The 19,046-nt window shown below is 43.2% G+C and overlaps 1 protein-coding gene and 1 non-coding gene across 7 annotated transcripts in view; both read left to right on the top strand.

The window, feature by feature from the left end:
- EDA (ectodysplasin A) overlaps positions 1 to 19,046 on the top strand; it is a 423,360-nt gene that overhangs the window by 399,896 nt on the left and 4,418 nt on the right. Inside the window, exons 3-8 of one of the 6 annotated variants that reach the window (XM_011530885.3) lie at positions 7,210 to 7,233; positions 11,849 to 12,028; positions 13,496 to 13,530; positions 14,461 to 14,512; positions 17,390 to 17,514; positions 18,073 to 19,038. In XM_011530885.3, the coding sequence (XP_011529187.1) occupies positions 7,210 to 7,233; positions 11,849 to 12,028; positions 13,496 to 13,530; positions 14,461 to 14,512; positions 17,390 to 17,514; positions 18,073 to 18,192 (536 nt within the window). In that variant the 3' untranslated portion in view covers positions 18,193 to 19,038. Of the gene's footprint in view, positions 1 to 7,209; positions 7,234 to 11,848; positions 12,029 to 13,495; positions 13,531 to 14,460; positions 14,513 to 17,389; positions 17,521 to 18,072; positions 19,039 to 19,046 lie in introns of those variants that run through there. The other 5 variants (NM_001399.5, NM_001005609.2, NM_001440762.1 and 2 more) reach the window with 5 other exon arrangements.
- Positions 6,849 to 6,915, top strand: MIR676 (microRNA 676). The gene has a single exon (NR_037494.1). It is a non-coding gene; the product is annotated as a microRNA 676 (primary transcript).

Below are 19,046 nucleotides of genomic sequence, written 5' to 3' on the forward strand. Positions count from 1 at the left end.
AAGGGATGGAGAAAATCTGCCAAGCAAATGGAGAAAGAAAAAAAAAAACAAAAAAAAACAGGGATTGCTATTTTAACTTCAGACAAAACAGCCTTTAAACCAACAACAATTTTAAAAGACAAAGAAGGGCATTACATAATGGTAAATGGTTCAATTCAACAAGAAGACCTAGCTATCCTAAATATATATGTACCCAACACAGGAGTACCCACATTTATAAAACAAGCTCTGAGAGACCTACAGAGAGACTTAGATAACCGTACAGTAATAGTGGGAGACTTCAACACCCCACTGACAGTATTAGAAAGATCATTGAGGCAGAAAACTAATATAGATATTTCAGACCTGAACTTGATACTTGACCAAATGAGCCTAACAGACATCTACAGAACTCTCTACCAATTAAAAAAAAACCCAGAATATACATTCTTCTTATCTGCACATAGCATATGCTCTAAAATTGACCACACAATTGGCCATAAAACAATTCTCAGCAAATTAAAAAAGAAAAACAGAAATCATACCAACCACACTGTCAAACCACAGCACAATAAAAATAGAAATCAATACCAAGAAGATCACTCAAAACCATACAAATAACCTGCTCCTGAATGACTTCTGGGAAAATAATGAAATTAAGCAGAAACCAAGAAATTCTTTGAAACTAATGAAAACAAAGATACAACTTACCAGAATCTCTCGGGCACTGCTAAAGCAGTGCTAAGTACTAGATGCCCACATCAAAAAGTTAGAAAGATCTCAGATTAACAACCTAACATCACACTTTGAGGAACTAGAAAAACAAGAGCAAACCAACCCCATACTAGCGGAAGACAAGAAATAACCAAAATCAAAGCTGAACTGAATGTATTTGAGATGTGAAAAAACATACAAAAGATCAATGAAATCATACTTGGTTTTTTGAAAGAATAAATAAGATAGACCACTAGCTAGAGTAATAAAGAAAAAAAGAGAGAAGATCAAAATAAACACAGTCAGAAATGACAAAAGGGGCATTACCATCAATACAACAGAAATGCAAAAAAAAAAATCAGAGACTATCAAAAACACCTCTATGCACACAAACTAGAAAACCTAGAAGAAACTGATAAATTCCTGGAAACATACAACCTCCTGAGACTGAGCCAGGAAGAAATTGAATCCCTGAACAGACCAATAATGAGCTCCAAAATTGACTCAGTAATAAATAGCCTGCTAAGAAACTAAAAAGCACAGGACCAGGTGGATTCACAGCCAAATTCTACCAGATGTACATAGAAGAGTTGGTACCATTCCTACTGAACCTATTCCAAAAAGTTGAGGAGGAGGGGCTTCCCCCTAACTCACTCTGAGGCCAGCATCATCCTGCTACCAAAACTTGGCAGAGACAAAAAAAACTTCAGGCCAATATCCTTGTTGAACATAAAAGCAAAAATCCTCAACACAATACTAGCAAACTGAATCTAGCAGCACCTCAAAAAAGCTAAGCCACCACAATCAAGTAGGCTTTATCCCTGGAATGCAAGGTTTGTTCAATGTACGTAAATCAATAAAAATTATTCACCACCTAAACAAAACTAAAAACAACAACCACATAATCATCTCAATAGATGCAGAAAAGGCTTTCAAGAAAATACAGCACCACTTCATGTTAAAAATCCTCAACAAACTAGGCATTGAAGGAACGTACTTTAAAATAATAAGAGCCATTTATGACAAACCCACAGCCAACATCATACTGAATGGGCAAAAGCTGGAAGCATTCTTATTGAGAACCAGAACAAGACAAGGATGCCCTCTCTCACCACTCCCATTCAACACAGTATTGGAACTACTAGCCACAGCAATCGAGCAAGAGAAAGAAATAAAAGGCATCCAAATAGGAAGAGAAGAAGTCAAACTATCCCTCTTTGCAGACAATATGATTCTATACCTAGAAAACCCCCATAGTCTCTGCCCAAAAGCTCCTTGATCTGATAAACAACTCCAGCAAGTTTCAGGATATAAAATCAATGTACAAAAATTAGTAGCATTCCTATACACCAGCAACATCCAAGCTGAGAGCCAAAACAAGAATGCAGTCCCATTCACAACAGCCCAAAAAGAATAAAATACCTAGGAATACAGCTAAACAAGGGGTGAAAGACCTCTACACTGAGAATTACAAAGCACTGCTCACAGAAATCAGAGATGACACAAACAAATGGAAAAAACATTCCATGTTTATGCGTCAGAAGAATCAATATTGTCAAAATGGTCATAATACCCAAAGAAATTTACAGATTCAATGCTATTGTTATCAAACTACCAATGACATTCTTCACAAAACTAGAAAAAACTATTTTAAAATTCATATGGAACCAAAAAAGAGCCTGAATAGCCAAGGCAATCCAAAGCAAGTAGAACAAAGCTGGAGGCATCATATTACCTGACTTCAAACTATATGTTAAGGCTGCAATACCCAAAACAGTATGGTACAGATCGAACAATGGAATAGAATAGGTAGCCCAGAAATAATGTCACACACCTATGACCATCTGATCTTTGACAAAATTAACAAAAACAAACGATCTAGAAAGGACTTACTATTCAATAAATGGTGCTGGGATAGCTGGCTAGCCATAAGCAGAGATAATTGAAACTGGGCCCCTTCCTTACACCATATACAAAAATTAACTCAAGGTGGATTAAATCCTTAAATTTAAAACCCAAAACTATAAAAACCCTTGAGGAAAATCTAGGAAATACCATTCTAGACATAGACCCTGGAAAAAAATTTATGACAGAGACATGAAAAGCAATTGCAACAAAAACAAAAATTGACAAATGGGACCTAATTAAACTAAAGAGCTCCTGCATAGCAAAACAGCAAAAGAAGCTATCAACAGAGTAAACAGACAACCCAAAGAATGGAGAAAATATTTGCAAACAATGTATCTGACAAAGATATATCCAGTATCTATAAGAAACTTAAACAAATATACAAGCAAAAAAACAAGCAACCCCATTAAAGAGTGGGCAAAGGACATAAACAGACACTTTTCAAAAGAAGACATATACATGAGCAGTAAGCACATGAAAAAATGCTCAGCATCACTGATCATTAGAGAAATATAAATCAAAACTAAATGAGATACCATCTCACACCAGTCAGAATGGCTATTACTAAAAAAATCAAAAAATAAGAGATGCTGGTGAAATTGTGGAGAAAAAGGAACACTTATATACTTCTGGTGGGAGTGTAAATTAGTCCAGCCATTGTGGAAAGCAGTGCGGTGATTCCTCAAAGAACTTAAAGCAGAATTAGCATGCAACCCAGCAATCTCATTATTGGGTATATACACAAAAGAATATAAATTGTTCTACCATAAAGACACATGCACATGTATGTTCATGGCAGCACTCTTCACAATAGCAAAGATGTGGAATCAGCCTAGATGACCATCAACGGTAGACTGGATAAAGAAAATGTACGTACATGTCATGGAATACTATGCAGCACAGTAGACTGGATAAAGAAAATGTACATACATGTCATGGAATAATATGCAGCCATAAAAAAGAATGAGATCATGTTCTTTGCAGCAACATGGATGGACCTGGAGGCTGTAATCCCAAGCAAACTAATGCAGGGACAGAAAACCAAATGCTACATCTTCTCACTTATAAGTGGGAGCTACACATTGAATACATATGGACACAAAGAGGGGAACAATAGACACCAGGGCCTTCTTGCGAGTGGAGAGTGGGAGGAGGGTGAAGATCAAAAAACTACTTATTGGGTACTACGTTTATTACCTGGGTGATGAAATAATATATACACCAAACCCCTGTGACACACAGTTTATCTATAGGACCAACCTGCACATGTACCCCAGAAACTAAAATAAAAGTTTAAGAAATGACTTTGAGCCCTGTTTCTGTTGGTACTCTTCATGTCATGGGCATTTTAGGGAAAAAATATAAAAATTTTAGTTAACTCTTTGTCTTACACTGTATGCCAAAATCTATACCAGATTAATTGTAGATTTAAAAATAAAAATGAAACCATAAAAGAACTAGAAAATATATAAAGAGTTACCTATAATATCACATTAGGGAAGGCCTAAGTAAGCATGACACTGAAGGCAGTAACCATATAGGAAAAGATTATTAGGTTTAACTACATGTAAGGAAAGCTTTTCACACCCTTTGACCCAACAGTGTCATTTCTAATGACACATCCTAAAAAACCTTTGGACAAGTGTATAAAAATGTACATATGTGGGGCCGGGTGCAGTGGCTCACGCCTGTAATCCCAGCACTTTGGGAGGCCGAGGCAGGCGGATCACGAGGTCAGGAGATAGAGACCATCCTGGCTAACACAGTGAAACCCCATCTCTACTAAAAAAATACAAAAAATTAGCCGGGCGTGGTGGCGGGTGCCTGTAGTCCCAGCTACTCGGGAGGCTGAGACAGGAGAATGGCGTGAACCCGGGAGGCAGAGTTTGCAGTGAGCCAAGATCGCACCACTACACTCCAGCCTGCGCGACAGAGCGAGACTCCGTCTCAAAAAAAAAAAAAAAGTACATCATTGTTTATAAATGTACATAACATATAAATTGTTTATAAATGTACATATAAATTGTTTATAAAATGTACATATAAATTGCTTATAAACATACATTGTTTATAAATGTACATCATTGTTTATAATAGTGAAAAACTGGACCCAATCTAAATATTTATCAAAGATGATTAAACGCTGATGCATCCATATTAAAAATTACAATGTAAAAATGTAGTTATTGACATAAAAAAGGTTATCAAATGACATTTTTCATCTGATCCCATTTTGTAAAAATACCTATTTATATACATAGAAGACTTCTAGATGTGCATGAAATGTTAGTAGTGATTATTTGGGGGTGCTTTAATAAGCTCTTTTTCCTTTTGCTCCTCTTTTGTATGTATATACGTATGTATGCATGCGTTTATGTATGTGTAAGGAGTAGGTATATTTTGTATGAAAATAATAGAAGCTTAAAAAGATTTTAAAATTTCCATTTCTCTCTTTTCACTTGTGGATTTAAGTCAGACCTTCTCCAGGAAGCTATTTGTTCCCCTTAAGTGGCCAGTATAATTCCTGAAGCCACTCCCTCATCTTTTGTATTTCCCTATTCAACTGTAAGTTCTTGAAGGTAGAGTTGTGAGTTGCGTTTCATTATTTACTGCCTTCCATACACATACTCTGTAAGGACTGGTTGGCTGGTGATGGCCTGATTTCTTCAAAGTCTGCTTTTGAAGTCTGATATAACAGTGCTTACCCTTAACCAGCTGAAACGGTCAAAAACTTGGTCCGGGCCAGCACACCTTTGCAAAGAGGGCAGGGTAGCCATAATGGCTGTCTTCCTACTACTCTCCTAGGCTGTGGTGGCTAGCTGGCTGATAGAGCTGAGCCCTTTCTGTGTAAATCTTTCCCCAAACAGCTTTCTTGTTCAAGAAAAAGGCGTTTCTCAGGTTGAGTCGCTGCCTCATATCATTAATGTCTATGTAGTTGTGCTTTCCTCTCAGAACTTCCAAGCACATTTTCAAGAACTCGCAATGCTGTTAAAAAAAAAATTCATAAAGGATGGGTAACAAAGAAAGAAGACAAAGAACTGGGAGGAGAGGAGAGGAGAAGAGAGAAGGAAAAGAGAATTGAGATTCATGACCTTAAGTACAGCAGGTTGCTCCAATCTAAAACATCCCCTGGACATAACAATAGCTACTGTTGCACATGAAATTACTTTGCCAGAAAAGTCTACACAGACATTGGTTTTTCAAGGGACCTGTGAAAGCTCTGATGGCCACTCTGGCAGCCCTCCAGGTTAGAGACTTTACTGATCTCTAATAGGGCCTGCTCTTATAGTTAGAGATCATTCCACGTTTGTTGCAAATATCAAATGAGATGATAAATGGAAATATGTTTTATAAACTATAATATTGAAATGCTTGGTGTTCCTTTTGTAAGCTCTTGAGGGCACTGACAGTGGTTTAATGTATAACTGTGTCTTCATGGCAGTTTGGAACAGATTTTAAATACCTGTATTTAAAGAAAGTCAAATCCGTATACAGAATGAAGAGAATTTATTTCCTAGAAGGGAAAAAAAAAATGACTGTCTGGGAGCGACCTAAACTGTTTGGGGAGTTGCGGTCACCTAACTATGTTAGAAACACCTTGGGTTTTCTAAGTACCTTCAATTGATTAGAATTATTTTCCTTAGAAGTAATTTCCAATAAAATGCTTGTGATTTCACTGCCAATGAAATGGTTGACATGTCTTATTTTATTTTATTTTATTTTATTTTATTTATTTATTTATTTTTGAGATGGAGTCTCGCTCTGTCACCCAGGCTGGAGTGTAGAGCGTGATCTTGGTTCACTGCAAGCTCCACCTCCCAGGTTCACGCCATTCTCCTGGCTCAGCCTTCCAAGTAGCTGGGACTACAGGCGCCCACCACCACGCCCAGCTAATTTTTTGTGTTTTTAGTAGAGACGAGGTTTCACTGTGTTAGCCAGGATGGTCTTGATCTCCTGACCTCGTGATCCACCCGCCTCGGCCTCCCAAAGTGCTGGGATTACAGGTGTGAGCCACCACCCCCGGCCGACATTTCTTTTAAAGTGTCCATTAACTTATAGTAAATTACAATGGAAATGCATGTGGCCCTCAAGAGTGTATTATGGTCAAACTTTTAATAAGTAACAAATTAAATCATGATAAGGAAGTGACTAAAAGTTAAACACTGCTGCTCTGCTCTTTCCATGAAAATGACCCTTTGCTCCTTCCAAGTTCAACACGAGACTTCATATCAGATTCTCACCTGAACGCATGACTCTTCAACCTCAGGACTTGCAGAATTAATGGAATGCTGTCCTAAGGTTGTTGAGTTGTGCATTTCTGGGCATTTCATCTCTATGGGGAAGTACCCATTCCCTCACCCCAAAGACTGAAGTAGAGAGATTTTTCTCCCTAGGGAAGAATCTTCCTTGAAACTTTTGTGGCCTCAGGAGTCAGAAGACAGAATGGGGAGGTTTGATAGTTGGATCCTTGCCAAAAGCCTGACCCTTGGCTGTGAGACTCCCTCAAATTTGCAGTGTCTTGGGGATCCCTCCTAGTGACTATCTTAGAAAATAAACATTTTCTGTTCATTTCCAATGACTTAATTATCTATTTTATTTTTCTTATAGGCCCAGTTAAAAACAAGAAAAAGGGTAAGTTCCTGACTTTATAAAATTGCTGTCTTGTCATATATTTTCTAAAGTTAGAAGAAAAAAATCAAGAGTGCGATTTTTGTATTATATTCTTTCAGCATTGTCTGTCTGTTATTTTATTCAATCATATGTTATCTTCTTGAGTATTGTAGTTTCTGAAGAACAAGAAATCATTCTTCAGTGATGATTCACCTCTTTCATTCTTCCTTGTTCTTCTCCCTGCCCTTCTTTTTATTCTTTTTTTTTTTTTTTTTTTTTTTTTTTTGAGACGGAGTTTCACTCTTGTTGCCCAGGCTGGAATGTAATGATGCAATCTTAGCTCACTGAAACCTCCACCTTTGGGGTTCAAGCGATTCTCTTGCCTCAGCCTCCTGAGTAGCTGGGATTACAGGCACTCGCTTTTATCCTTTTTTTCCTCCTTTATCAAATCAGTGATTGAGTGTGAATGAAATCCTGTGTCACCATGTAGGAACTAGATACGCTACCTATCAAAAGATGTCAGTACCCTATTTCTTGGACTTAAAGCTTCCCTGATTTGATTTCCCAAAGAGTCAGGGAAGGTATTTCTTGCTTTGAGGATTCAATATCATTTTCTCTGTAATGAAAAAGCTATTCTGGAGTAGTACCCTGACCATTTAGTCTTTTCAAAGCAGCTTCCATTGTGCCGTTGTTGGGTCAGTAAGTCCCCAGTGTACTTGCAATGAAACTGGCCCTAGGGCATCTACAAGTGCTCACTTACTAAAAGAGGAGAATCAATCCAAAGACAGAACAGTCTCCAAAGACAGGGCCAGGCAATATGGTCTACTTCTTAGGACTGAAAGAACCAATTATGAAACTAGTTAAAGCACCTGTTTGTTTCTGGGTTCTGACCTGGGAGGAAGACAGAGTAAAACTAATGATTGTTCATTAAAATGCTTTAAGTGAAATGATGCTGTGTGATAAGATTTATGGAGCTTTATAGAATAGATTGTCAACCCCGGACTAGGCCAAAAAGACTGGCTTCAGCTGCAGTCTGCCACTTCTTTGAACACTAGGGTACTCTGGTGCCTTGAGGTATCATAGTCCACATGGAAAAGTTGTGTGCCTGTTGTAAAGAAGCTGAGGAATGGCCTGGCCTCCTGAGGGCCTGAACTGAGCAAGGCTGGAAAACAGCCAGGGAGCTGGAGTCAGTGAGGAAACCTTTCCCTGTGGGGCCTGGGCACTTACCACCAAGATATTCTGTCTTTTAAGAAAGTAGATTTGATTTTCAAACATGTAGTTCTTAACTCTTGTCATATCCCTTTAAAACAGAAATTATAACTCAGATCATTGCCTGGCACTGCTACCTTGTGTACGGGACATTATTGAGAAGACAGTGCACATAGGCTTTAAACATTTACTTTGGCTGAAAGTTATTTAGAAGCCATTTAATATGGATTTCCTTGGACATGGTGAATAGGCACATGCTTGAAGAGGTAAATTGAATTGTTCTCTTAATTTTCACCCTTTAATGGAATTTTCCTCCTTCCACAACTCTCTCTCACTCACTCATTCACTCACTTTTGGTTGTTCTTTGATTTTGGGCTTAGCTAAAAGGTTAAGGAAATACTCCTTTGATGAAGTTTAGCTTTGAAAGGAATGTGTATATTCTTTCATCTAACACTACATAGGGTATGTTTCTAAGTACAAACGTCTCTGGGCTTTTATATCATGAGGTGTTCTGTTAAAGTAAGGAAATCGAGAGAAGGGAGTCAATCCTCTGAAGTTATCCTCTTGCTCCAGGGGTCATTTTGTACATTCTCTTCTCTGGGCCCAACTTTGTGTAAGTATGCAAGTGTGAGAAGCTCACTTGCCTAACCCTTGTTGCAGAGAAGCAGAGGACCAGCTGCAGAACTGGAACAAAGCAGGAGTTTTTTTTTTTCTCAAATGCCTTCTAACATTTTCATAAGTGAACATTCTCTGTTTTCACTGCAACCATTAGTCTCTTGGACTGGAGGAGTTTCTGGCTCTAATTCTTCCAAAATTACATTAGCAATTACAGGAGACTCACATTCTTGAAGGTGAAGTTTGTGCTACCCACAGAACACCCTCTAGCTTGAAAATCACTGTTAGGCTTGGAAATCTTGGAACACAGGACAGCCTAATATGCACCAACTTCTGTGTCTGTGCCACCTAGAAAATAAGGAGGGAGAAGCAAACCTTACAACCAGGCTAAGAAAGCTTCCTGACTGCAAGGGGTAAGCCACCCCTCCTTATAGAAACTCAGTCTCATGAGGAAACAGAGAAATCATTGAGGCCAAGCTCCTTGTTTCACAGATGTAGAAACTAAGGCTCAAGGAGAGGAAGGGATTTGCCCAAAGTGTGTCTGTGGCAGAGCTGGGGCTTACATCCTTATCTCCTGAGTACAGATTTTGTGTTCTTTCCACTACACTAGCTGGAATTGAAACTTGGGCTCTGAATAAGCCTGATTTGGAAGCTGCCCAAATCTGAAAGGAGATGGTTTTCCTGTTCAGCATCTTGAAATTGGCTAGATCTAGAAACGGGGCAGATCCAATCTTTTGCTGCTAAGTGCAGAGAAACCTCTAAAGCTCATGCCTCTAGGTCTTTAAGGCTACAGGGACTCTTCTGGGAGAGATGTTCTCTGGACCTTCCTTTCCTTCCTTTCTGAGGAAGAGACCCCACGATGACCCCATGGTTTCATTCCAAATGCAGATGTGGTTAGACATAGACAAATGGCCTCTTGAGTGGCATTGCCATGAGGATTGGGTTTCTTGGCCATGAGGCATTGTTCTTAAGGGAGGACCTGATAAATCAGGACAAGATTCTCCTGCCTAAGTGTCTGGGGAGCAAGAAGTCAGAGTCAGTAAGAAGGTTTTTAGTGAGACTAGAGAAGGTTGTATTTAAAACTAAGAAACTACCTCAGGTGAAGACATTGTGATGAAGTCTGGAAACAGGCTTCCATTCCTGAAACTTTCCATAAAATTGTGAGAAGGTGGTGAAGGAAGGAAGAAGACCTGTGCCTACATGTAGTCTTTGAGTGGAGCTGCACAGAGCAGAGGAAGTCAACAGGAAGAGCTGGAGGTTTTGGTTCAAGACCACAGTTATGACTCATTTAAGATAACTACATCCTGGTGGGAATGTTGAAAGGACTGGAATATGAAATAGGAGGGTCGAGATTGTTCTAGAAGGATAGCAAGGAGGAAAGGGGGAAGAGTTGGTGGGCATGATTAATAATACATTTGAGAATGGGACTTCTGAGGAAAGACTTTGGGAAGCTGGATTATTTAGCCTATAGAAATAGGGGTTGGTGGGTAACTTAATTTCTTTTCATATATAAGGATTATTATGTATATGTATATTCTTCTCTGTCTACACAAATAGAATAAGAGCTTAAACTGCCACAAGAGGGACATCATTTAATATACCAGAGAACTTCCTAACAGTGAGCAGTGAGGGGCAATAAACATTGGAACATGTTACTATGGAGTTTGCAGAATTTCCTTTCCCAGAGATCTTTTAAAATAGAGTTTACAGAGGTCAGCTGAGAGAGTGAAACTTGCTGCCTCCTCCTCAGCTCCCTCTACTCTCTGTCTCTGCTTCTTTCCTGTTTCTCAATATCTCTCTCTCTCCCTCCTCCTCTTTCCGTGCCCCTCTTCCTCCTTCTCCATTCCCCCATCTCCAAAACTCCTTCCCATTCCTCATTCCCGACTAGCACTGTCCCCATCCCAACCCCCATTTCCTGTACATCCTGACTCCTGGAGGAACCTTCCTGGAGCTGATACTGTTCCTAAGGCCAGGCTGTACGGCTTCCTCTTGTTATCGACATCAAGTCCACCAAACTGGGCAGTAAACATAAAAGCTCCACATTCTTCAACAATAGCCCTTTCTAAAAAGAACCACAAAGTGACCCATAGGTCTAATCACTTGGTAGAGAAATTCTCATCCTTTGGACTCAGCTGAAATGTAACCTCCTTTTTGAAACCTTCTCTGACCTCTTCAGCATTTGGTCCCTACCCACTAAGGTAGCACTTCTACTATCCCATGACTGTGTCTGTTTCCCCACAGACACAGACTGATCTCCTGGAGGGCCACTTATTTCTATATGCTCAAACCTAGCTTTGTAAATGCATATTCACAAAAGGGAGTGGGGGGAGGGGAGAGAAAGCATAAGACAGACGGAGACAGGGAGACAGAGATGTGTGATAAAGGTATCCAACTCTTTAGCAGGGCCTCCCAGAGAGCTGACTTTGTGTCCTCAGAAGTCTGTAGAACTCCTGACAGTACACTCATCACAGGAAATAACTACAAATGTAACACTGAGGCCAGGCGCGGTGGCTCACGCCTGTAATCCCAGCATTTTGGGAGGCTGAGGCAGGCAGATCACCCGAAGTCAGGAGTTTGAGACCAACCTGGCCGACATGGTGAAACCCCGTCTCTACTAAAAATACAAAAATTAGCAGGTCGCGGTGGCACGCGCCTGTAATCCCAGTTACTCCAGAGGCTGAGGCAGGAGAATCGCTTGAACCCGGGAGGTGGAGGTTGCAGTGAGCCGAGATCGTGCCACTGAACTCCAGCCTGGGCAACAGAGCAGGACTCCGTCTCAAAAAAAAAAGTAACACTGAATCCTATTTTTCAGGAAAGAAAGCAGGACCTCCTGGACCCAATGGCCCTCCAGGACCCCCAGGACCTCCAGGACCCCAGGGACCCCCAGGAATTCCAGGGATTCCTGGAATTCCAGGAACAACTGTTATGGGACCACCTGGTCCTCCAGGTCCTCCTGGTCCTCAAGGACCCCCTGGCCTCCAGGGACCTTCTGGTGAGTTCCCCTGTCTCTCCACCCCACCAGGTGCCTTTAAAGTACTTTAGGAGAGCAGGAGTGGGTGATCCTGAGAGCAGTTTCAAACGGTGGAGATGGGGTTGGTGTGCAATAAGGGATGCAGATCTCCTAGCCCAGTGTAAAACTAGGAATTGGACAAGCCAGTAGGGCCTGGCCTGCTCTAGCTTCTTATATCTACCAAACTGTCAAGGACAGGCCACCTGTTCTTGCCCCATCTCAACCCTTCTGTTACAAGCCCTCCCTGACTCTTGGCCTCCCTGTAGTGGACCAGTAAAACTCATATGAGCCAGAGACAGAGGCCCTGGTGGTTCACAGGAGTTCCAGTGGGGAATAGATGTAATCTTCTGTGATTCCCAGCATCTAGCTCCACATGCTGATGTTTGCATAGAAATAGGCTATGGAGTAGAAAGTTGAGGACTGAACAAAATGACAAGCCCTAGGATAGTTTCATCTTGTGAAGTCTGAAGTGCTTTTCCCATAGCAAGTAGTCACTAATGGTCAAGAAGTTAGAAACTTAAGAGTCACTCAGGCTGTGGATGAAGCAAACCCAGGCACCAAGGCTGTCCTGTCCGGGAACCAAGTGCTTCTTGCACTAGATCCTTACCCTACCACACTTGCCATTCAAATGTCATTTCATCCCTTTGCATCTTTCTCCTTAAGCCCTGAAGGGCATCCGAAAGGTATGAATGCAGATCCAAACCTGCCTAATTGGAGTTGACAAGAGTCAGACTGCCTGGGCTAATGTCAGTTGTTATTTCTTTCTCCTGCTCCTCACTCCCCTGCCCTGTATCTTGGGGCTTTAAAGAAATGGACCCTTACAGCTGATTTCTCCAGGGGCAAGAATTCTGCAGCAGGATTCAGATTCTTTAACTTGTACTTCACACAGGGCTCAGCAGTGTTACCATGGCCACAAGAGATGGAGTTAGAGATTTTTTTTCAACCAATCATTCCTTAAATATTGAGCACTTTCTGTATACAAAGAGATATATTGATACATGGTCCCTTTTCTTATAGAGTTTATCTCCTAGAGGAAGAGAGAACAAAGAAACAAGATATTTACAAATAGCAGTGGGCTCTATGAAGAAAATTAATAGAAAGGGAGCAAAACACTAGAGAAGCCAATGCCATTGCCTCAGGGTCACACAGTGATGGGAATGCTCTCTCATTGTTCTCCATGGGTGCCCGGTGGGGCTTGCCTTGGGCTAATATTGGCCAGAGGCAATACTCAGAAGTTTCCCTGCTGGGTGCTGGGCCCACTGAAGATGAAGGTCAGGGCAGGAAACAGAAGGGGTGCACTCTGACTCTTCCTCCAGCTCTGAGCCCTGGAGAATAAAGCTCAGACAGGGCTGGCTGCAGGGAGCATGGCTCACCACCACTAGCTGCTCAGGTGAGGGGAAAAGGAAGTCAAAAGATTATGCCCTCTGATTGTCCTATCCTATTTTGCAGGTGCTGCTGATAAAGCTGGAACTCGAGAAAACCAGGTTGGCTGGGGATTGCTCTCTTCCTGGGTAGGAGGGAAAGCCACAGGCTAGAGCCACCTTTAAATTAGCTTCTTATTAGATTTCCTGAGGCTTTATTTCATGAGAACACCCCGGAGATTCTGACGGTTTTCACTCACAGCCCCCTCCCATCTCTATGAATAGAAAAGCTTTGCCCCAGGGCATGTTTTTAGCTAAGGAAAGGGTGTCTTGCCAGGATCATTTTTCCTCATTCCACAGGAGACCCCAGGTTCACCATAGCCAGGCCCAGTAGTCAGCTGAAATAAGCTGCCAGTCAGACCTATTCACCTGAGCCTCCAACTCCCCAACCACCCCAGACACCTTGCCGGCTCTCAGACCACCTGGGATCCGGAGCTGAAGAGTTGAAGAGTATGTCCTTGAAAAACAGCCAACCAGCTCCAGGCCCAGCCTAGCCTGGGCGTCTGCCTTAATGGCCTGAAGAGCTCCTCCCAGTCTTTGAGCTTCCTAATCTGTCTCTATTGGCAGGTTCTACTGCCTTGCCTTGTCTCATCTCAGCCTCCCTTGCTACAGCTGTGTGGCCACAGTGATAAATCTACACAGCTGCACAGTGCTTGACGGCTTGCAGGGCAATTTTATATCCATCACCTCATTTGATCTTCAGACATCCCTGTGAGAGAGGCCAGACATTCTTATAATCCCCATTTTACAGTTAGGGAAATGAGGCTCAGAGGCATTACATTTGGTTGAGGTCACATAGCTAGGAAGCGGTAGAGCTACAAAATCATATTACCCTCTAGTAGAAATGTAGTCAGTAACATCCCAAGACAGGGGAGAGGGATCAGAATTGGATTACAATAGAAGACTAGAAACCAGGATGGAAACATGGGACTGGTGGCTGAGCAAGCAGCCATTACTCATAGTGACTACTCTCTATCCTTCTCATCCTGCCAGCCAGCTGTGGTGCATCTACAGGGCCAAGGGTCAGCAATTCAAGTCAAGAATGGTAAGAATCAAAATAGGCTCTCTCCCAAAGAGGAGCTTCTCCCCTGCCTCCTCCCCAGCCTCCAAATAATCACCCAGCCTAGTTCCTCCCAGGCCGCTGAGGTACCGTTGGCATACGAAGTCATTCTTTGCTCCATCATGCCCTCTACTGGCTGTCCTGAGCAATTGCTGGCATCAAGACCAGTTGCTACACCCAAATTGCTTTAGAATCACTGATGACGGAGCTGAAAGGGACTTGAGACATCATCTAGCCCAGGCATTCTCAGGGGATGGAGGTTATATCAGAGCCACCATGGAGATATGTGTAGTTAGATTAATATTTTCACAATACAAATTATAGAAAGTAAAACTATGTAAAATTAAATTTTTCTTGTCTGATCTACACAGGTGGGCAGACAGGCTGCATCTCTCAGGGAAGGTGGGGCATGTTAGAATCTCCAGGGAATTTAAGATGCTAGTGTCTATCAAAAAGGAGAACATGTTTAATGGGGTTAAGAAACACTGATTTGTTGTAATCCCTGCATTTAAAAGATGGGGAAACAGAGTCCCAGAGAGATTGGATAATACCATAATAAATCATGCTGTCTCATATTTGTACGATACTTTAGAGTTCTCAGCATACTTTCTTTGTCTTTAATTTCATTCAGTCCTCACAACCACCCTATGAGGTAGGTATGAGCTCCTTTTTACAAGACAGAAAGTGAAGTTCAGAGAGATTAATTAAGTTTCCCAATATTTCTTAGTCAAGTTAGTTTAGGAGCCAGGATTCAAAACTACATCTTTCTGACTCTTTCCTCTCCCCTGTGCTACTTCAGTGATATGTATGTACACTCCACTGAATGATTAGGTTCATTTTCTTCCCCCAAAGAAACATGAACATTCATGAAAGAACAGCACTTTGGAATAATGTCCAGTCCCCAGAGTGCACAAAGCCTAAAATGCGTGAACCCCCAGGAGCCTTGGGAAGCAGCAAGCTAGCCAAGATGCCAGATGCTTACAGAGCTTGGGGTGGAAGGGAGGGGTTGTGAGTACAGAAACGGTAAAGGAAGGTTAAAAAAAACAGCTACATGGGGACAGTTTCTAAGAACTCAGTCAGTCCTGAACTGGCTGTGCTGAGTTTCCTTAATGACTGTATTTAGCTACTTCCCTGACTGCCACCTCCATGTCTGACTTAGTAGCCTCAGAAGTGTAAATAGGAACACAATGGCACCAAAACCCAATTGGTCCTGCTGGGGACCCCAAGGCCCTGAGTGGGCCATGATCCCCACCTGTCCAGGGAGGCCAGAGACAGGCCAAAATAGATTTGTTTGGATATCTAGATGGATAGTGTTTATTCTGTGCTAGCAGCCACTGATTTTGCTCCCACTGCCACATAATAAGATTGTTTCCAGCCCCTCTGGGCCAATCCTCAGAGGTGGTCTGTGCTGACCTTTAGTACTACCAGAAGAAGTGATGGGGGTGGGGTGCAGTGACTCACACCTGTAATCCCAGCACTTTGGGAGGCCGAGGCTGGCGGATCACATGAGGCCAAAAGTTTGAGACCAGCCTGGCCAACATGGTGAAACCCCGTCTCCACAAAAAATACAAAAATTAGCTGGGCATAGTGGCACACACCTGTAATCCCAGCTGCTCGGGAGGCTGAGGCAGGAGAATCACTTGAACCCGGGAGGTGGAGGTTGCAGTGAGCCAAGATCACACCACTGCACTCCAGCCTTGGTGACAGAGTGAGTGACAGTCCATCTCAGAAAAAAAAAAAAAAGAAGAAGAAGTGATGGGGTCAGGGGTTGGAGGACGTCATGCAGAGTGGTCCATTGATGGGACAGAGCCAGGGCAGCTCCTAGCCCATCTACTTACCACCTCAAGGAAAGATGGTCACCTTTTCCAGAAAGGCTGTTTCCTCACCCCTCAGACAGGCAGGCCTACTGAAACTGGCCAAAGATGGACTTATAAAATATAATTTCTTGGGTGCAGGATGGATGGCTTAGAGGGGAAAAGGCTCCCTGGGCTTGGATGTCCTCCTCTCATGGTGGGAAGGAACATTCCTCTTTCTGCAGGATGGAAAGAGAAGTTTTTCCTCCATCCTCACACACTGGCTTCCGCTGTCCAAAGGAGTGTGACTGCCCCCTCCACCCCTGCCTGGGGTGGGGCTGAGACAGATGCTTTGCCAAGGGTGGCTCGGCTCCTATCCTCCCAGCTGGCTCTATTGCAGCCTGCCAGTCTATCCTTCACTCTCATAAGGATCCCTCTCACCTATGGGGCCCTGGTACTAGTGGTCAGTAGCCCCAGTTACCATGGAGTCTGAATCATCTCTAATCCCTAAGGTTCTCCAGATAGACAGTGGGCTGAGTGGTTTCCTCCCAGGGAGGCTTTCCAGAAAGCTGTGGGTGTGGAAGAACCGTAAAAAAGAATCTCTTAAGGAGAAAGAGAAAACCCATGAACCTATGAGATGAGAGGGATTCAGGAGCTCTGGCTGGGAAAGTAAAATTGAATAATAAGACCTAGCCTGCCACTCAGTGTCTGAATTTTGCCTGTGCAGGCCCCATAACAACAAAGAAAATAGGGCAGCATGCCCACTCTCATCCTCCACCGGCAAATTCCAGCTAGAAGGTATTGGTTAAAGACCCTTCCAGATGCAAGGGTCAAGAAAGGAAGGATAAAGACAGACAGGCAGAGCCCAGGAGCCCTGAAGCAGGCCTGGCAGCTGCTTTACAAACAGAACAGCTTCTCTGCTTTCAAATGCTCTTCTTAAAGTTTGGCCTTCTAGGCTACCCTGGTTGCACTGGGATAGGGGTGGGGGTTGTGAACTCCTTGGTATTTATTTTCTGTTGCCTCGATTATTCTGACATGTACTGAGTGACTGCCCTTCTCTCATACTGAGATCTTTCAGGTGGAGTGCTCAATGACTGGTCTCGCATCACTATGAACCCCAAGGTGTTTAAGCTACATCCCCGCAGCGGGGAGCTGGAGGTACTGGTGGACGGCACCTACTTCATCTATAGTCAGGTAGAAGTGAGTACGGTCTTAGGCCTAACTCTTCTTATATCCAGAATGCAGATCCGGTGCAGGCCACATAGGGGCACTGTGGAGCCAGCCAAGACCATCCAATGGCTAACTTCCTGCTTTGGGTGAGGGGGTGGGGGGACCGCACTGGGAGGGAGTTGAAAGGAGGAAAGAGAGAGGGGGCCAGCTTCTTTTGTTTTGTTTTGTTTTGTTTTTCCTTAGCCAAATATTATTGAAAAACTGTGAAAAAGACCCCTCCCACACCCTGCCATCTGATTCCCTCCTGCAGGGCCTCAGGCCCCTGTTTACCCTCTGAGCTGTTTGGCTGCACTGCCAAACTTGAACTTGGTCTCAGTACATTCTTTGAAAGTCAGTTCCAGGGTTACTGAGAACCCTTTCCCTCAACACTGCTGGCTCGGACGTTGTAATGAATAGTGCTCCTGCAGACTTTCTTTCCACCTCAAAAAGATTTCTGACTGTCTTTCCTTCCTCTTTCTCCCATTTGTTTCCCTATCTTTCTATTCCTCTATTCTTGCCTCCTTCCTGCTGTCATTCTCCCAGCCCTTTCTCCCTCTGCTTTTGTCCTCTTCCTGCCCTGGGCCCGCTCCCCAAGTCCACCAGTGTCCATCTACTTCCGTTCCCCCATTGTTTGCCTCCATGGGAGTGGCTCCTTGGAGATAAAGGAAGATGAGCCATGAGGTTGGGATTTTTGTGGGATGGGCAGCAAGCAGGCAGGTGGACAGAAGGACTATGGAGCCAACAGATGGGTGTCACATGAGAGCGGCCAGAGAAGGTGGGCTAACAAGCATCTGCTAGGCACACTGAGCACCCCGCTGTAGCTTGGGTCCTGACCCGTATATGGCACCCAAATATGCTGTTCCCACCTGAAGAGCTGATAGAGGGAGTGACCTTTCATAAAATGATTTACGGTGATATCTGAGAGTCCCAACACCCATGGGGCACATGGGCATAACCCTGATGTCCTGTGAGCCAAGTTCCACGTGGTGGGGGTGGGCGGCAGATCAAAACTTGGTGTGAGGTATGATGGATAAGGGTAGTGAAGGATGGAAAAATTAATTTTCTGAGCCTAGGAGAGAATTGAGAGTGGCCCATGCAGGCTGGGAAAATCCCCATGACATTAGGCCACTGAGCATAAGTTAGTGCTTCCTTCTGGCCACAAAGTTAGGGGCCTGGGCTTTTCCAAATTCTTTGTCTTGTTTGTGGTAGCTAGCTCTCGATCTCTCTGGACCTGTTTCCTCAATCATCAGATGGGAGGCCCAAGGGGCACTGTGAATCAGTGAGGGGAGTCCAGGCCCAGGGGAGGGGTGGTGCAAGCTGAATAAGCTTCTGTTAAGGAGCTCAAGAAATCACAAGTTGTTACATGCCCTCTCTGGGGAATCAGTGACTTCTAAGTTTCTCCACAAATAGTCCGTGGGGCTCAAGAATGGAAGTCAGTTTGTGTCCACGGCACTGTGTACACACCTGCTACGTGCAGAGCACTCTGCTTCATGTCAGGGCTGGGGCAGGGGTGGGCG

The sequence above is a fragment of the Homo sapiens genome, chromosome X, assembly GCF_000001405.40.
Source record: "Homo sapiens chromosome X, GRCh38.p14 Primary Assembly".
NCBI lineage: Eukaryota > Metazoa > Chordata > Mammalia > Primates > Hominidae > Homo > Homo sapiens.